The sequence below is a fragment of the Homo sapiens genome, chromosome 13 (assembly GCF_000001405.40).
Source record: "Homo sapiens chromosome 13, GRCh38.p14 Primary Assembly".
Lineage (NCBI taxonomy): Eukaryota > Metazoa > Chordata > Mammalia > Primates > Hominidae > Homo > Homo sapiens.
In genome coordinates this window covers 25,007,003-25,024,725 of record NC_000013.11, presented here as the reverse complement: position 1 = coordinate 25,024,725, position 17,723 = coordinate 25,007,003, and the positions used below count along the sequence as shown (strand labels likewise).

Here is a 17,723-nt window from a genome sequence, read left to right as displayed (position 1 = left end):
TGGCGAAGATATCCTATATGTCATGAAAAAGTAGCCATGTAAAAGGGAATGTAGATTCATTTTCAAATGCGTATCAATTAATTCATTTGATTTATTCTCAAAGACAGTGGATTGTGATGATAATAGAACAGCTAAAGTCAATAGGTGCACTTAAAGCTTTTGCTGCAAATCTGATAATGGGAAAAGTGTGTGGTTTAATGTGGGGGTCTCGGGTGGTTGGCATTTTGTTATCTGAGTATCCTTTTGTGTCTTACTAGTAGCCTACTATCGCTGTAGACTCTCCCACAGCTTTCACGGATACTGCGACTGAACATAATTTGGGAAGATAAATCATATGGAAAGTAACCTTTCAGCCCTGTGTGTATGGAGCAGTCTCGGAATTGATTTAATTGATGCACTGTGCTGACCATTCCCAGGTCTTCTTGGGGCAGGGTCTGTTGCTCACAGCCAGCTCCAGGACACCTGATGGAACTCCCAAGGGAAGGAACACCTTCACGGGGGTGGGAGGTGGGGGGCGGCGCCATCTTCCCTGAGTCCCGTCTGTGCCCCTGTGAGGAGCCCCTCACCCCTGGATGGCCATGGAGCTAAGAAAACCTCTTGATTTTCCTAGAGAACTCCAAAGCCGGAGAACAAATGAATATACTGTGGTCCATCCAACGTAGATGAGAGAAATTTAACAAGAAGGAAACAGTTGCCACGTTAACTGTAAACACTGCTGTAAATGGTATCTGTTCAAAGTGCGCAGATAGGCGTTGGTACAAGAACCGGGATTTCACTGCTGACTCTTTATTGACTGATGACTGCAGAGCAAAATTGTGTATCTGCTTTTTAATTTCATCTTTCTAATAATGCATCTGTCTTTATGAAATTTACAAAATAGGGGTTCATGATACTTTGAAGATTTTTAAAAGCAGTGTTTTACCAAAGACAGAGACGTACTGCCCTAGGGAGGAATCCAGGTCCCTGAAAGACCTTGAGGACAGACGAGAGCCCAGGAGTGCCCACCAGGAACTATGTAACAGACAAAAGTCAACTTCTATATTAAAAATATCATAGTAATAAGTACTATTGGCTGGCGCGGTGGCTCACACCTGTAGTCTCAGCACTTTGGGAGGCCGAGGTGGGCAGATCACCTGAGGGCAGGAGTTCAAGACCAGCCTGGCCAACATGGTGAAACCCCATCTCTACTAAAAATACAAAAATTAGCTGGGCGTGGTGGTGAGCCCCTGTAATCCCAGCTACTCCGGTGACTGAGGCAAGAGAATTGCTTGAACCCAGGAGGTGGAGGTTGCAGTGAGGCGAGATTATGCCACTGCACTCCAGCCTGGGTGACAGAGCGAGACTCCATCTCAAAAATAAATAAATGAATAAATAATAAGTACTGTTTATGTGCATATATATATGTGTATATATATATATATGTATGTGTGTATATATATATATGTATGTGTGTGTGTGTGTATATATATATATATATATATATATATATATATATATATATATATGTACAGCAAGCATACAAAATGATGCCATGGGAAAAAGGGGAGTGTGGCTGAGAAGGGGCTTCTCCTGTACTGGTTTTTGGTTAATGGGTTCTGTATTTGCCAATGTATATTGTGTTTTTTCTAATATGTTTTTGCATGTCTCTAATATTGTGTTAAATTTATAAGTTAAATTAAATACATAACTAAAAAGAAGGTATTACTAAAAATCATTAATGTAATGAATGGATAATGGCTGATATATAATGTAAATATTTTTTCAAATATTTTGCATTAGTAAAAAAATGGACTGAATTTCTGTAGTCATATTAATATTCTGCTTCAATCCCAAATTGTTTGAAATGCATTATATGCAATTCAATCTGTATTAGTTCACTATTAATATAGCATGTAAAGTACTGAATACATGATGAAGATTCTAATCTTATTCTATTATTTTTTTAATCCTAGGTTTTCTCAAAAGCTAGTTGTTATCTTTAAAGCCTCTACATGCTTTCAAAGAAAAATTACACATTACTTGATTTGTGGCACAGTAGTCTCAATTCAGTTTCCTCATGAAGACGCGCACAGTGATGTCTTTTCTGTGTGCATCCCATTCATCATTTGAATTCTCAATCTTTTCACCATCTTCTCTTGTAAACCGCTGTTATCTCATGGCTCAGTAATGAAATTGATACTGGTGTCAGAGAAGCTGTGCTTAGTTTAAGATTTCTGTAACTGAAACAACAAAATGGTGTAATTTAACACTTTCTCTGAGTGATCTGGCCTAGGCACTCTCCTCTCTACCTATGCATGTACATGTAAGCATCCATACATAGAAGCGCACACACATATCTGCATTTATAGACCAGTGTGGAGAAAATGCTACAGACAGAACCATCGAAAACCAGACAGATGGGATTTTGAATAAAAGTGCAAATGCTGTAGTTTGGAAGACTGAGCCAACAGCCACAGGGAACTGTCTACCCATATACTCCTGGCCTGACATAAGGACAATTAACAGAAGAAGAAATGATAGTAATTTTCTCTGTTTACTCCCTACACTTAGAAAAAGAAAAATATTTAGTTGAGCCATTTCTGAGGACATCAGAAACAAAGGTTCCGGTAGGGCCCAATTCCCACCTGGGATGGCCAGTGAGTTTGATTTTACAACACTGTGCAACTGTGTATGGGGAAGATGGGGCTGGATGGGTCCTACATCCGTGCCTGGTGAGTAAGGACTGCAGAGTGGCAGCAGGTAAGAAACCTGTTTCCATCAGAGGGTACGGCCAGTGCCCACGGTGAGGGGTCACAGGAGCACTGGATGCTCTTCCCTCCTCAGGGAGCCGGACGAGGCTTGCAGCCGTCCTCTTCCAAGAAGACTCCGGGAACTGGCGAATTCATGAAGCTCCTGCAGTCTAGTCAGTCCAACCGGGAGGGATGGGGAGACTCAAAGACCAACACACTCACCCCTCTGACCACGCCTCAGGCCACTGAGGCCATTCTCGTGTTTCCCCAAGCCCAGAGTGCTTTCAGACACCACCACCACCAGCTCCTCTACTCTTTCCCCCAGAGTGTGTCACTCTGTCCCCTCTCTATGGAATGCAGAGCTAGTGTGACATTTCTCTTCCACTCGAATTTGTCAATGCTTCTGACTCTGGGTACCCTGAGAAGAGAGACTTTTTCATCTACCCCGTGCCTGCAAGCCCAGCATAGAGTTTGGTAGATACTTGTCATTCAGTATATCCAACAACATGCTTTTTGAAAGCCATTCAATCACAGGCATAGTGTTAGAGTGAGCTATTGAATGGGCGAATGGATACATACATGACCATCATCTTAGACCTCTTCTTGTAAATGACCTCATGTGACAGAGGACAAAAGCTATGACACTGCTTTTTTTGAAGCCCATGCCTCAAACATGCACCTGACCCCACCTTTGCCACTGCACAGTGACCTCTGGTCACTCTGTCTTGGCCACGTAAGACATTGACACACAGCTCAGAATGCACCGTCCACCTCTGCTCACACCTGCCCCCTGGGTGAGTTCAATGTCTACATGAGTGACATTGTGGCCACTCAGTCTCCTCCTCACCTTTCATGTCCCATTTATCTTGGGTGTTTAGATTTGGTATAAATAAGAACTCACTTTATCAAAGCAGCCTTACCAGTCTCCCAGTAAAAACATAAAAAGAAAAAAGAATGATTGTGCTGCTTATTTTAACAGAAGCAGAATGATGGCCTTCACAGCACAGCCTCACAGTGGTCATAATTATCCCAAAATACATTAACTTTTTCAAACCCTCCTGCATTCTATGGCTTCAACCTTATTTTTGTACCTTTTGGATTAGTAAAACATTTTCTTTGGCTCTTGGAAGAAGTCAACCTCTCAGGAAACAATTGAATTAAACTTCATGTTTGTTTAAAGAGTCCTTGAGTAGTACCCCACCTCTGTCTTTCCTCAAAATGTCTCCGATGAAAGAATAAACAGAGAATGTTCTGCATTGCGTAGTATCCAAATGAGCAGGAAAATGTTTATTTAGCAAGTTCCATATTCTGAAAATGTTACCGTCCCAATAACACCTTAAGACTCGTTGAGTATTTCAGACCATTTCGCAGCTTTACAGCATTCAGTACACTTCTGGCTTCATATTGCTAATTCTTATATAACAGTTATCGGGAGAGTCTCCAACTAACTACCTTCATTACCGAATTAGAAGGAAGGGTTTTTTGTTTTTTAATGTTTTTACTTTAGAAAATGTACTTGAACAGATGAAGTTCAATCAGCTAATAGCCACTATTTATTGAGCATCTGGTATGTGCCAGGCATTGTGCTAAATTTTTTTTTTTTTTTTTGAGCAACAAGGCTGTTTATTTCACCTGGGTGCAGGCGGGCCAAGTCCGAAAAGAGAGTCAGCAAAGGGTGATGGGATTATCATTAGTTCTTATAGGTTTTGGGATAGGCGGTGGAGTTAGGAGCAATGTTTTGCGGGCAGGAGGTGGATCTCACAAAGTACATTCTCAAGGGTGGGGAGAATTACAAATTACAAAGAACCTTCTCAAGGGTGAGGGAGATTACAAAGAACTTTCTTAAGGGTGGGTGAGATTACAAAGTACATCAGTTAGGGTGGGGCAGAAATAAATCACAATGGTGGAATGTCATCAGTTAAGGCTATTTTCACTTCTTTTGTGGATCTGGGATGTGAGGAGCGCCTCTGCCCGGCCGCCCCGTCTGGGAAGTGAGGAGCGCCTCTGCCCGGCTGCCCCGTCTGGGATGTGGGGAGCACCTCTGCCCGGCCACCCCGTCTGGGAGGTCTACCACGGGGGCCAGACGCAGTGTTGGGGCTGGACGTGGTGGCTCACGCCTGTAATCCCAGCACTCTCGGAGGCCGAGGCGGGTTGATCACTTGAGGCTAGGGGTTCAAGACCAGCCTGGCCAACATGGTGAAACATATGAAAAATACAACAAACCAACCAACCAACCCAGCAACAACAAAACAGGTCTACCCTGGAGTCATACTCTAATTTTTTCTGTTTTCCTCCCTTTCCCATCCTTTATCCCACTTTCTTTTTCTTCCTCTTCCTTCTCCTTCTTGTCAAAGACATAGAGGATTGAGTTATTATCATTGATCCATACAAAGTCCCTCTCTCATTTATTTTCTTTCATTCTCACCCCCCATTTCTATTCCCCGTCTTCCCATGTGCAATCTTCCTAATATGTTTGATATGCATCTTTTTGTTTGTATGTATTTTTAGAAAATGTTAAATACAAAAAAATTTTTAAAAAGCCCTGCAAAGGCAGGAAAGCTGAACTGGTTGCTGAGCCCCTTCTGGTTGGCCACGCAGTACCCATGCCTGTAGCCCCTGGACTCCTAGTGTGGGCTAAGGTGGAGTGGACCCTCTGGCTTGGTCACTGCGCAATGGGGCACCTGGAAACCATCCAAAAGAGAAGACCTACCAGCCCGTGCCCTAGGTGCAGCTGCCACCTGCACGTCAGGCACCAGCAGCAATGGCCAGACCATCCCTGATTCTCCATGCCCTCCCCATCCCCGCCCCAACAGCAAGGACTCCCTGACAGGACGCTGCGGTAGTGGCTGTCAGGAAGTCGGCTGGGCAGGTGCATAAGGATAAAGATAGACTCTCAGCCCCATCCCGATGGCCACAACGTGCTCATCCCCTGGCGGCTCCTCAGCCCTATCCTAGTGGCCACGGAGTGGCATGCAGGCAGCAGCCTTGGGAACCCCGATTGCCCCTCCTCACATGTGCCCATCACACGACTTGGGCGACGGGGAGGTGAAGTCAGGCTGTGGCCCCAGTGGCGCCACGAGGCCGATAACCGGCGCTCAGCCTCATCCCCGTGGCTGCACAGTGCCAAGCGCCAGGTCCTGCTCTCTGGGCGCGGGTCAGGAGCAGCTGGCAAGGGCAGCGCAGCCTGTGAGGCCCTTGGGCGTGGCCGGCCGCAGCTCCGGTAAGCCACATCAGCCCATGGGCGCTGCAGCTGCAGCCGCCACCAGCACATGGAGCAGGGGTCGCCGAGGATTGGGAATCCCCGACCAGGCGGGCGCCTCCAGCCGCGCGGACCCCTGGGCCAGCCCGGCCGCGGCAAGTCAGGCAGTCTGCGGCAGGAGCGCCGGGCATGGGCTTCGGCCCAGGGTGTAGGAGGCGCGCACCCTCTGGCCGGATGGGCGGCGCACTCTGGGCCCAGGAGGCCATCCCAGGGGAGCCCCGCCAGCCCCCGCCGGAGCCCGAGCTGCAGCTGCCACCTGCAAGCGGTGGGCTGACTGCAGCGGTGGCAACCCCGGATCCCGTCCTTCCGCCTCGCGCCCATCAGCGCGGACCCCGGGGGCGACGCAGTGGCGAAGTCGGGCTGTGGGCCCAGCGGCGGCACCAGGTGGAGAAGCACCACTCAACCCCATCCCTGGGCTGCAGAGGGCCCAGCGCGGGGGTCTCTGAGCATCGGGAGCCGTTGGAAGAGGAGAAGAGGGCGCGGGCCACAGTCAAACAGGCCCTGGGGCAGGGCGCGCCTTGCGGCTCCAGGGAGCCCTGCCAGCCCGCGGCACCTGCGCAGCAACCGCCGCCTGTACTGGGCGCCGCGAGAGCTGCTAAGGCGGTTTCTCTGCCTCGGGCCTGTTGGGCGGGGCCGGCTAAGGTGCGCGTGCTCGCTGGTTCTAACGGTTCTGTTGGGCGTTTCTGCTGAGAGGCGGGAGGCGCTGAGAGTCTGTGCCAAGGTCCACGGACTGACTGAATTGCTTGTTGTTGCCCTTCGGAGGCGGCGATCCCCGAAGGCGAGCTGAAATACGGCTGGAGCGTTCCCAGGCTACAATTTGCAGCCGACGAGTGGTGGCCCACCCTCAGGGAGCACTTGTGATCGGATGGCTTCTCATTTCCCCAGTACCATATTAAATCATCTCATCTGAGGAGGATCCACAGAGCTGTCTTCTGTGGTAATCTGGAGAAACTGAACTACCTTTGTCTGAGTAGTTGTCGACCTTGTTTTCACATTAACTGGCTGTTTTGTTAATGTGGAATCAGAGTCATAGCTTGGAGGCTTCATATCTCCCTGATTCAATTCTCTCCCATATTTCAACTTGTGGTATTTGGCTCTTTTCTGTTTAAGAGCATACTCCAACATTTTGATCTTCCTCACAAGATCCTTCTTCAAATTTTCTTGGTCCTTCCTTTCTCCCTGTAGGAAGGCAATCTGGGCCTTGCAGGACGGAGTCTTGGTCGCAGACTGAGCCTGTACCTCACCCGTCTCCCACCGACTCTTGGTACTGGCCACGGCCATGCTGGGCAGCTCTATGGAGGCCTGGCGGGCTAGCTTGGGGGTCCGGCCAGCGGTCCTTTCACAGCTGGGGAGTGGAGCCTGGGCCTGAGGTCTCCTGTGCGCCTCTCCGCGCCTGCGCCCGCGCCGTGTGCTAAATTTTTTGACATCATTATAGTGTTTCTTCTAATAAGTACATTATTAAGTAAGCTTTAAAAAAAGGCTTCAATTCGTCCAATTTTCTAAAATTTCCTAAGTTAAAAGGAGATTTCCAGCCTATGCAGAATGTTATCCGAGTATTTTAACACAAAATCTTTTCCAGTTTTTATTTTCAATGAACTGTTTTCTAATGCTACATAAATAAGAAGAGACGTGTTATCAGAAAAAAAAGTCCACAAAGCACTGGCATTCTTTTTTTTTTTTTGAGACGCAGTTTCGCTCTTGTTGCCCAGGCTGGAGTGCAATGGCACAATCTCTGTTCACTGCAACCTCCACCTCTCGGGTTCAAGCAAGTCTCCTGCCTCAATCTCCCAAGTAGCTGGAATTATAGGCATGCACTACCATACCCAGCTAATTTTTTTTTTTTTTTGTATTTAGTAGAGACAGGGTTTCACCATGTTGGTCAGGCTGGTCTCGAACTCCTGACCTCAGGTGATCCACCTGTCTCGGCCTCCCAAAGTGCTGGGATTACAGATGTGAGCCACCGCGCCTGGCCGGCATTCTTAATTTCTTTTTCTTTTTTTTTTTTTTTTCTGAGACGGAGTCTCGCTGTCGCCCAGGTTGGAGTGCAGTGGCGGGATCTCGGCTCACTGCAGGCTCTGCCCCCCGGGGTTCCTGCCTCAGCCTCCCGAGTAGTAGCTGGGACTACAGGCACCCGCCACCTCGCCGGGCTAATTTTTTGTATTTTCAGTAGAGACGGGGTTTCACCATGTTAGCCAGCATGGTCTCGATCTCCTGACCTCGTGATCCGCCCGCCTCGGCCTCCCAAAGTGATGGGATTCCAGGCGTGAGCCACCACGCCCAGCCGGCATTCTTAATTTCTATTACTAATTTCCTTTTTGGTGCACAGCGGTTTGGTTTTATTAGGTATATGTATTTTTAGTTACTTTATTCCTTGGAGTGGAATGATTTATTTTGGAGACATGAGGCCCAGAAGAAAATATTAGAAAAATGGAAAGCAGAAAAATGTAGAAAAGTTTAGATTATTATTATTATGCACAAAGAAAGAAAAAGGGAGGTTGCTTTGAAACTATCTTTAACAATATGAAGGAAAATTTTAGGAGGTCCCTGAGTACAGAGAAGACAGACCAGAGGAAGTGGAGTTGACTTACAGAAAAGTAATTTCTTTGGTTTTTTTTTTTTTTTTGAGATGGAGTCTCACTCTGTCGCCCAGGCTGGAGTGCAGTGGCACGATCTTGGCTCACTGCAACCTCCACCTCTCAGGTTCAAGCAATTCTCCAGCCTTAGCATCCCGAGTAGCTGGGATTATAGGCACCTGCCACCACGCCTGGCTAATTTTTGTATTTTTAGTAGAGACAGGGTTTCACCATACTGGTCAGATACACTGGTAACCTATGCAAGTAGATGACCATTGATCTGATGCAAGTTCAGGGGTGTATCTAATCATTATAAGAACCAGTGTATCTAATCATTATAAGAACATCAGTGATACAAATGTGGTGTGATATTTTAATTTGTTGTTAATATTAAAATACAGTATTCACTTTTAAATATAGGTAAACATTCTACCTGAAACTTGAAGTGAAAAACCTCCTTTAAGTGTTTAGAGATTGGAATTCTATCAGTCAGTCAAAGTATGAATTCATACTTCTTATTGCAAGACTGTGGTGAGTACAGAAGTCATTAATCTTATGTAAAAGAAAGCATGTTTTAGGATACATAACCTTTTTTGAGTCCACAAATGTACATGGAAATTTAGATGATAATACATGGCAGAACAAAAAAGATTAGTAGGCCAGGCATGGTAGCTCATGCCTGTAATCCCAGGACTTTGGGAAGCTGAGGCAGGAGGATCGCTTGAGGCCAGGAGTTTGAGACCAGCCTTGGGAAACATAGTAAGACCCCTGTCTCTCCAAAAAAATATTTAATGTACCCAAGTGTGGTGATGTGAGCCTGTAGTCGCAGCTACTTGGAAGGCTGAAGCAGGAGGATCACTGGAGTCCGGGAGGTTGAGGCTACAGTGAGCTGTGATTGTGCCACTGCACTCCAGCCTGTGTGACAACGTGAGATTATGTCTCAAAAAAAAAAAAATTACAAGGAAGAAAAATTCCCAAATCATTCTACAACAAGGCATGTTATACGTCATCTTTGATTCAGATATAATAAAGACTAAAGGGAGACAAAAGGGAGAAACATAGGATATTTATATTAAAATGAGCTAGTCAAACACCTTGCTTCTCTAACAATCGCAGGTGAAAGTGGGCTCTATTTATTTATATGTAAGGTAGGCAGCTAACAGAGGAGAAATCTTACTGACAGTGGAGAAATTATTGTATCTTCCCCGTCATGTCAAACTTAGAACATTTAACTGAAACAACTTTAATGATAAAAACATGTTAATGTGGCAGGTTGAATGCAAGAATGGCTCGAATTCTCTACCCCTGCACATATTCAGGGCCCTTGCAATATGACTTTGGAGCCCCTCCCACCGAGAGGTGGAGTCTATTTCCTCACACTTAGAATCTGGGCAGCGTTGTGATTTACTTTACCTAACAGAATGCAGCAGAAGTGACCGTCCTGAACTCAGTTCTCAAGAGGCCTTGCAAGCTTCCATTCCCACCCTTAGAACCCTCTCATGCCATGACGGCAAGCTCAATTCTCTACTGGAAGTTGACAGACTGCATGAAGCAGAGACAGGTGGTCTAAGCTGATAACAGCCTGTACCAGGCAGCCCTCCACCCATCTGGCAAGTGGCTGCAGCCACAGGAGCTGAGTCAGCCCGGCTGAGACCCTACAGGTCTGGCCCAGGTCAGTAGCACCACCCAACTGACCTACAGAGTGGTGAAGAATAGATGTTTATTGTTAAATACAACTGAAGGTTTATAGTTACTGGTTCCATAGTGTTATTATGACAATAAATAACTGATACAGTTAATTATTACATTTTAATAACAATATCAGGTTTATTTTTTTATTCCAGAAATCCATGTTATGATGGTAATATTTGGCTTTGTCCTCAGTAACTTTTCCACTTTTAGCCATTTAGAATTCAGCCAAAGTATGGATTTGGTGCATCTCTATGAGGTAAGAATTGTTTCTTCTTGGCCGGGCGCGGTGGCTCAGGCCTGTAATCCCAGCACCTCGGGAGGCCGAGGTGGGCGGATCACGAGGTCAGGAGATGGAGACCATCCTGGCTAACACGGTGAAACCCTGTCTTTACTAAAAATACAAAAAATTAGCCGGGTGTGGTGGCGGGCGCCTGTAGTCCCAGCTACTCCGGAGGCTGAGACAGGAGAATGGCATGAACCCGGGAGGCGGAGCTTGCAGTGAGCCGAGATCGCGCCACTGCACTCCAGCCTAGGTGACAGAGCAAGACTCCGTCTCATAAAAGAAAAAAAAGAATTGTTTTTTTCCAACTTAAACATAATTTTTAAAAAGCACACCCAAGTTCTAGTCTATCTCACTCCAGAGCTGTGTTCTTAACCACTAAGCTCTGAGGCAACTCACACCTGTAATCCCAGCACTTTAAGAGACTGAGAAGGGAGGATCACTTGAACCCAGGAGTTCAAGACCAGCCTGAACAACATAGTGAAGCCTTGTCTCTACAAAAAAATTAAAAATTAGCCAGGCATAGTGTTGTATGCCTGTAGTCCCAACTACTCAGGAGGCTGAGGTGGGGCAATTGCTTGAGCCCAGGAGTTCGAGGTTGTAGTAAGCTATGATCACACCACTGCACTTCAGCCTGGGTGACAGAGCAAGATGCTATCTTTAAAAAACAAACAAACAAAACAACCCCAGCTACATCTGAAATGAGCTCCAGCGAGAATGGAGAAGTCACTCTATGGCATGATAGACAATTTATTTCTGAGTAGAAAATGAAGAAAGCTGCTTCCATTTGAAAACTGTTACCTGTGCATAATTTGGGCTGGGCATGGTGGCTTCATGCCTGTAATCCCAGCGCTTTGGGAGGCTGAGGCAGGAGGATCACTTGAGGTCAGAAGTTTGAGACAAGCATGGCCAACATGGTGAAACCCCTGAAAATACAAAAATCAGCTGGGTATGGTGGCTCGCATCTGTAATCTTAGCTACCCGGGAGTGATTCAGTAGAATCACTTGAACCTGGGAGGTGGAAGTTGCAGTGAGTCAGGATTGTGCCACTGCACTTGTGCCGGGGCGACAGAGCAAGACTCCATCTCAAAAAATAATAATTTGATGATTTTCTGGGAAAAGAGTCTGATAGCAGGAAGTATTATAATCCCATCACATACTGACACACAAATACTCAGTAAAAGCTTATTGAATTGAATTAATGAAACATGTATCAGTGAAATATATTTTGCAGCTTAAAGAAAAATCTCTTACTTTTTTATTTTATTTTATTTTTGAGATAGAGTCGCTCTGTCACCCTGAGCAGAGTGCAGTGGCACAATCATGGCTCACTGCAACCTTGAACTCCTAAATTCAAGTAATCTTCCCACCTCAGCCTCCCAAGTAGATGGGACTACAGGTGCAAGCCACCACACCCAGCTGATTTTTATTTTTTGTAGAGACAGAGTCTTGTTATGTTGCCCAGGCTGGTCTGGAACTCCTGGGCTCAAGCGATTCTCCTGCCTTGGCCTTCCAAAGTGCTGGGATTACAGGAGTGAGCCACAACACCCGGCTTCTTAAAATTATGATTTTACAATACGGTCCTTTCTGTTACTCTCCTGATGTAGTTACTCTAAAATTAGGCAAGAGCAATAATGTGACCACATGGGTCTTAGTGTACCATCCTCCTCAGATTCAACTAAACTGCCATTTGAGAAACTGTTAGGGAATGAAGCAGTGTGTGTGTGTGTGTGTGTGTGTGGTTTTTTGTTTGTTTGTTTGTTTGTTTTGTTTTGTTTTTGAGATGGAGTCTCGCTTTGCCGTACAGGTTGGAGTGCAATGGCATGATCTCGGCTCACTGCAAATTCCACCTCCCAGGTTGAAACAATTCTCCTGCCTCAGCCTCTTGAGTAGCTGGGATTACAGGCACACGCCACCACGCCTGGCTAATTTTTGTATTTTTAGTAGAGACGGGGTTTCACCATGTTGGCCAGTCTGGTCTCGAAGTCCTCACCTCGTGATCTGCCCACCTTGGCCTCCCAAAGCGCTGGGATTACAGGTGTAAGCCACCACGCCCGTCTGAAGCAGTGTGTTTGTAAGAAAGGCACAAAGGAAGCCAACTAGCCTGTAAGTAAAGATGCCAGTGATAGAAAGCAAATGGATGGGGTAGATAAGATCAGTGGTTCCCAAGGTCGTTTTAGGACCAGCAACATCAGCATCACCTGGGAACTTGTTAAAGGCAGATTCTCAGGCCTTGCCCTGGCCTGCAGAATCAGAACTTGAGTCAGGCTCAGCTATCTGGGCTCTAACACACAATCTTTTTTTTTTTTTTTTTGAGACATACTCCTGCTCTGTTGCCCAGGTTGGAGTGCAGTGATGTGATCTCAGCTCACTGTAGCCTCCACCTCCTGGGCTCAAGTGATCTTCCCGCCTCAGCCTCCCAAGTAGCTGGGACCTACAGGGGCATGCCTCCATGCCCAGCTAATTTTTGTATTTTTTGGAGAGATGAGGTATTGCCATATTGCCCAAGCTGGTCTTGAACCCCTGAGCTCAACTGATCTGCCCGCCTTTGCCTTTCAAAGTGCTGGGATTATAGGCATGAGCCGCCACGTCCAGCCTCTAACATACCCTCTCTGATACTGATCCTGCTGAAGCCTGAGCACCACCAGGCGAGAGAACAGTGTCATTCCAAAGGAGGGTTTCCTTCTTCCTACGCTTTAACTTTGGGTCTTACTCTCAGTCCAGAAAGGTGGAACCAGGTAGCTTTTACCTTCCTAGTTCTCTGCTCCCAGAGGTTCCTGCAGAAGTTGGAATTTCCTTGTTCTGTGGCTCAGTTTGTTAAAAATGAAAGTGTGTGGGAGAAAAAGGTTAGGAGAAGGTAGCTAGTGATTGCCCGTGGCCTGCCCGTGGCTGTGGCCTCCTGCCACCACCTCACTTTCCTCTGGTTTCCGGGGTGGGTCAGCAGCCTCCCCTCTCCTTCAGCGGAATCCTCTGGGCTGCTCTGAGGTCGAAGCACCTTGTATGTTATGTGAAAAATATTTCCAAGCAAAGTGCTTTGCCTCCAGCTGCGAAATTGATTAGTGGTTTAAAATCCCCAAACAGTGTCTACCATCAGCTGGAGTTGCTATTTTAAACCTGGACAAAAAAGAGTGTGTGAGAGGGGAAGGGATTGTGTATTATGTACAGGAAAAAAAAACAGTTTTAAAATATTCTTTTCCTCCGAATTGGGAAATGGCACACACAGGGGAAGAAATGTATGAGGAAATGCAATATTATTTTACTTCCTATATTAGAATTTTTTGTTCGAATAGCCTAAAATTTAAAATTTAGTTAATTGTAACAAAGCTCCTTCTGAAATTGGAATCAAGAAATTTAGCTTATGGGGATTTAAAGGACTGTGGAATTAGATGAAAAAGAAGATGAAATTCAGCGCCTGCAGACTCTGGGGAAGGTGTGTTCCTTGTTGACCGCTTGCCTGGGTGAACTGTCTGGTTACATTCAGGAACACTCTATGCAATACCACATGGAAATCAAAAGTGATTTTTACAATAGACCTGACAGATTCAAATTATTCCTCACATCTGGATTGTTTTCCCCTCCAAGTTCGTTGTTCTCCATAAAAATGAGTTTCAAACGTCCAGTTAAAACCTGCCAATCACAACCAGCTCCTGAATGACTGCTGGGTAAATAATGAAATGAAGGCAGAAATAAAGATGTTCTTCGAAACCAATGAGAACAAAGACGCAACATACCAGTATCTCTGGGACACATTCAAAGCAGGGTATAGAGGGAAATTTATAGTACTAAATGCACACAAGAGAAAGCAGGAAAGATCTAAAATTGACACCCTAACATCACAATTAATAGAACTAGAGAAGCAAGAGCAAACAAATTCAAAAGCTAGCAGAAGGCAAGAAATAACTAAGATCAGAGCAGAACGGAAAGAGATAGAGACACGAAAAACCCTTCAAAAAATCAATGAATCAAGGAGCTGGTTTTTTGAAAAGATCACAAAATAGACTGTTAGCAAGACAAATAGAGAAGACAAGAGAGAAGAATCAAATAGATACAATAAAAAATGATAAAGGGGATATCAGCACCGATCCCACAGAAATATAAACTACCATCAGAGAATACTATAAACACCTCTATGCAAATAAACTAGAAAATCTAGAAGAAATGGATAAATTCCCGGACACATACACCCTCCCAAGACTAAACCAGGAAGAAGTTGAATCTCTGAATAGACCAATAACAGGTTCTGAAATTGAGGCAATAATTAATGGCCTACCAACCAAAAAAAGTCCAGGACCAGAAGGATTCACAGCCGAATTCTACCAGAGGTACAAAGAGGAGCTGGTACCATTCCTTCTGAAACTATTCCAATCAACAGAAAAAGAGGGAATCCTCCCTAACTCATTTTATGAGGCCAGCATCATCCTGATACCAAAGCCTGGCAGAGACACAAGAAAAAGAGAGAATTTTAGACCAATATCCCTGATGAACATCCATGTGAAAATCCTCAATAAAATACTGGCAAACTGAATCCAGCAGCACATCAAAAAGCTTATAAACCATGATCAAGTTGGCTTCATCCCTAGGATGCAAGGCTGGTTCAACATATGCAAATCAATAAACGTAATCCATCACATAAACAGAACCAACAACAAAAACCACATGATTATCTCAATAGATGCAGAAAAGGCCTTCGACAAAATTCAACAGCCCTTCATGCTAAAAACTCTCAATAAACTAGATATTGATGAAACATATCTCAAAATAATAAGAGGTATTTATGACAAACCCACAGCCAACATCATACGGAATGGGCAAACCTGGAAGCTTTCCCTTTGAAAACCGGAACACGACAAGAATGCCCTCTCTCACCCCTCCTGTTCAACATAGTGTTGGAAGTTCTGGCCAGGGCAATCAGGCAAAAGAAAGAAATAAAGGGTATTCAATTAGGAAAAGAGGAAGTCAAATTGTCCCTGTTTGCAGATGACATGATTGTATATTTAGAAAACTCCATCGTCTCAGCCCGAAATCTCCTTAAGCTGATAAGCAACTTCAGCAAAGTCTCAGGATACAAAATCAATGTGCAAAAATCACAAGCATTCCTATACACCAATAACAGACAGAGAGCCAAATCATGAGTGAACTCCCATTCACAATTGCTACAAAGTGAATAAAATATCTAGGAATCCAGCTTACAAGTGATGTGAAGGACCTCTTCAAGGAGAACTACAAACCACTGCTCAACAAAATAAAAGAGGACACAAACAAATGGAAGAACATTCTATGCTCATGGGTAGGAAGAATCAATATTGTGAAAATGGCCATACTGCCCAAGGTAATTTATAGATTCAATGCCATCCTCATCAAGCTACCAGTGACTTTCTTCACAGAATTGGAAAAAACTACTCTAAAGTTCATATGGAACCAAAAAAGAGACCGCATAGCCAAGACAATCCTAAGCAAAAAGAACAAAGCTGGATGCATCATGCTACCTGACTTCAAACTACACTACAAGGCTACAGTAACTGAAACAGCATGGTACTGGTACCAAAACATATATATAGACCAATGGAACAGAACAGAGGCCTCAGAAATAACACCACACATCTACAGCCATCTGATCTTTGACAAACCTGACAAAAACAAGCAATGGGGAAAGGATTCCCTATTTAATAAATGGTGCTGGGAAAACTGGCTAGCCATATGAGGAAGCTGAAACTGGATCCCTTCCTTAAACCTTATACAAAAATTAACTCAAGATGGATTAAAGACTTAAATGTAAGACCTAAAACCATAAAAACCCTAGAAGAAAACCTAGGCAATGCGATTCAGGACACAGGCATGGGCAAAGACTTCATGACTAAAACACCAAAAGCAATGGCAAGAAAAGCTAAAATAGACAAATGGGATCTAATTAAACTAAAGAGCTTCTGCACAGCAAAAGAAACTATCATCAGAGTGAACAGGCAACCTACAGAATGGGAGAAAAGTTTTGCAATCTACCCATCTGACAAAGGGCTAATATCCAGAATCTACCAATAACTTAAACAAATTTACAAGAAAAAAATCAAATGACCCAATCAAAAAGTGGGCAAAGGATATGAACAGACACCTCTCAAAAGAAGATATTTATGCAGCCAACAGACACATGAAAAAATGCTCATCACTGAAAAAATGATGATGAAAAAATGCTCATCATCAGAGAAATGCAAATGAAAACCACAATGAGATACCATCTCACGCCAGTTAGAATGGTGATCATTAAAAAGTCAGGAAACAACAGATGCTGGAGAGGATGTGAAGAAAGAGGAATGCTTTTACACTGTTGGTGGGAGTGTAAATTAGTTCAACCATTTTGGAAGAAGTGTGGTGATTCCTCAAGGATCTAGAACTAGAAATACCATTTGACCCAGCCATCGCATTACTGGGTATATACTCAAAGGATTATAAATCATGATACTATAAAGACACATGCACATGTATGTTTATTGCGGCACTATTCACAATAGCAAATACTTGGAACCAACCTAAATGTCCATCAGTGATAGACTGGATTAAGAAAATGTGGCAGGTATACACCAAGGAATACTATGCAGCCATAAAAAAGGATGAGTTCATGTCTTTTGCAGGGACATGGATGAAGCTGGAAACCATCATTCTCAGTAAACTATCACAAGGACAGAAAACCAAACACTGTATGTTCTCATTCATAAGTGGGAATTGAACAATGAGAACACAAGGACACAGGGTGGGGAACATCACTCACTACGGCCTGTTGGGAGGTGGAGGGCAGGATAGCATTAGGAGGAATACCTAATGTAAATGATGAGTCGATGGGTGCAGTAAGCCAACATGGCACATGTATACCTGTGTAACAAACCTGCATGTTGTGCACATGTACCCTAGAACTTAAAGTATAATAGTAAAAAAAAAAAATCAGCTTAAGATGTTACAAAAAAAAAAACCTGCCAATCATTCATTGCCTGAGGACACTAAGCCTGCAGAAAAGTTTAGCCATGGATCATTCCATTAATGTTGCCATAAGTTGTATTTTTTATTGATACTTAATATACATATTTATGGGATACATGTGATGTTTTGATACATACATACAATGTGTAGAGCAAATCAGGGCAACTGGGGTATCCATCACCTCGAAACTTTATCATTTCTTTGTTTTTTTTTTCTGTTTTGTT

The 17,723-nt window shown here is 44.4% G+C and overlaps 2 pseudogenes, besides 3 other annotated features; both read right to left on the bottom strand.

The window, feature by feature from the left end:
- Nucleotides 6,143-6,202: a silencer, noted in NCBI's record as "silent region_5182". NCBI's record gives its function as "represses an Ori minimal core promoter by ATAC-STARR-seq in GM12878 lymphoblastoid cells {active_cell/tissue: GM12878}" and the evidence as "EXISTENCE:reporter gene assay evidence [ECO:0000049][PMID:35858748]".
- Nucleotides 6,143-6,673: a biological region, named in NCBI's record as "H3K27ac-H3K4me1 hESC enhancer GRCh37_chr13:25592191-25592702".
- Nucleotides 6,162-6,673: an enhancer, noted in NCBI's record as "H3K27ac-H3K4me1 hESC enhancer chr13:25592191-25592702 (GRCh37/hg19 assembly coordinates)". NCBI's record gives its function as "activates a minimal SCP1, AML or CMV promoter by ChIP-STARR-seq in naive H9 embryonic stem cells {active_cell/tissue: H9 hESC(naive)}" and the evidence as "EXISTENCE:reporter gene assay evidence [ECO:0000049][PMID:30033119]".
- On the bottom strand, nucleotides 6,952-7,195 carry LOC100133284 (striatin, calmodulin binding protein pseudogene; annotated as a pseudogene).
- LSP1P1 (LSP1 pseudogene 1) lies at nucleotides 7,188-7,324 on the bottom strand (annotated as a pseudogene).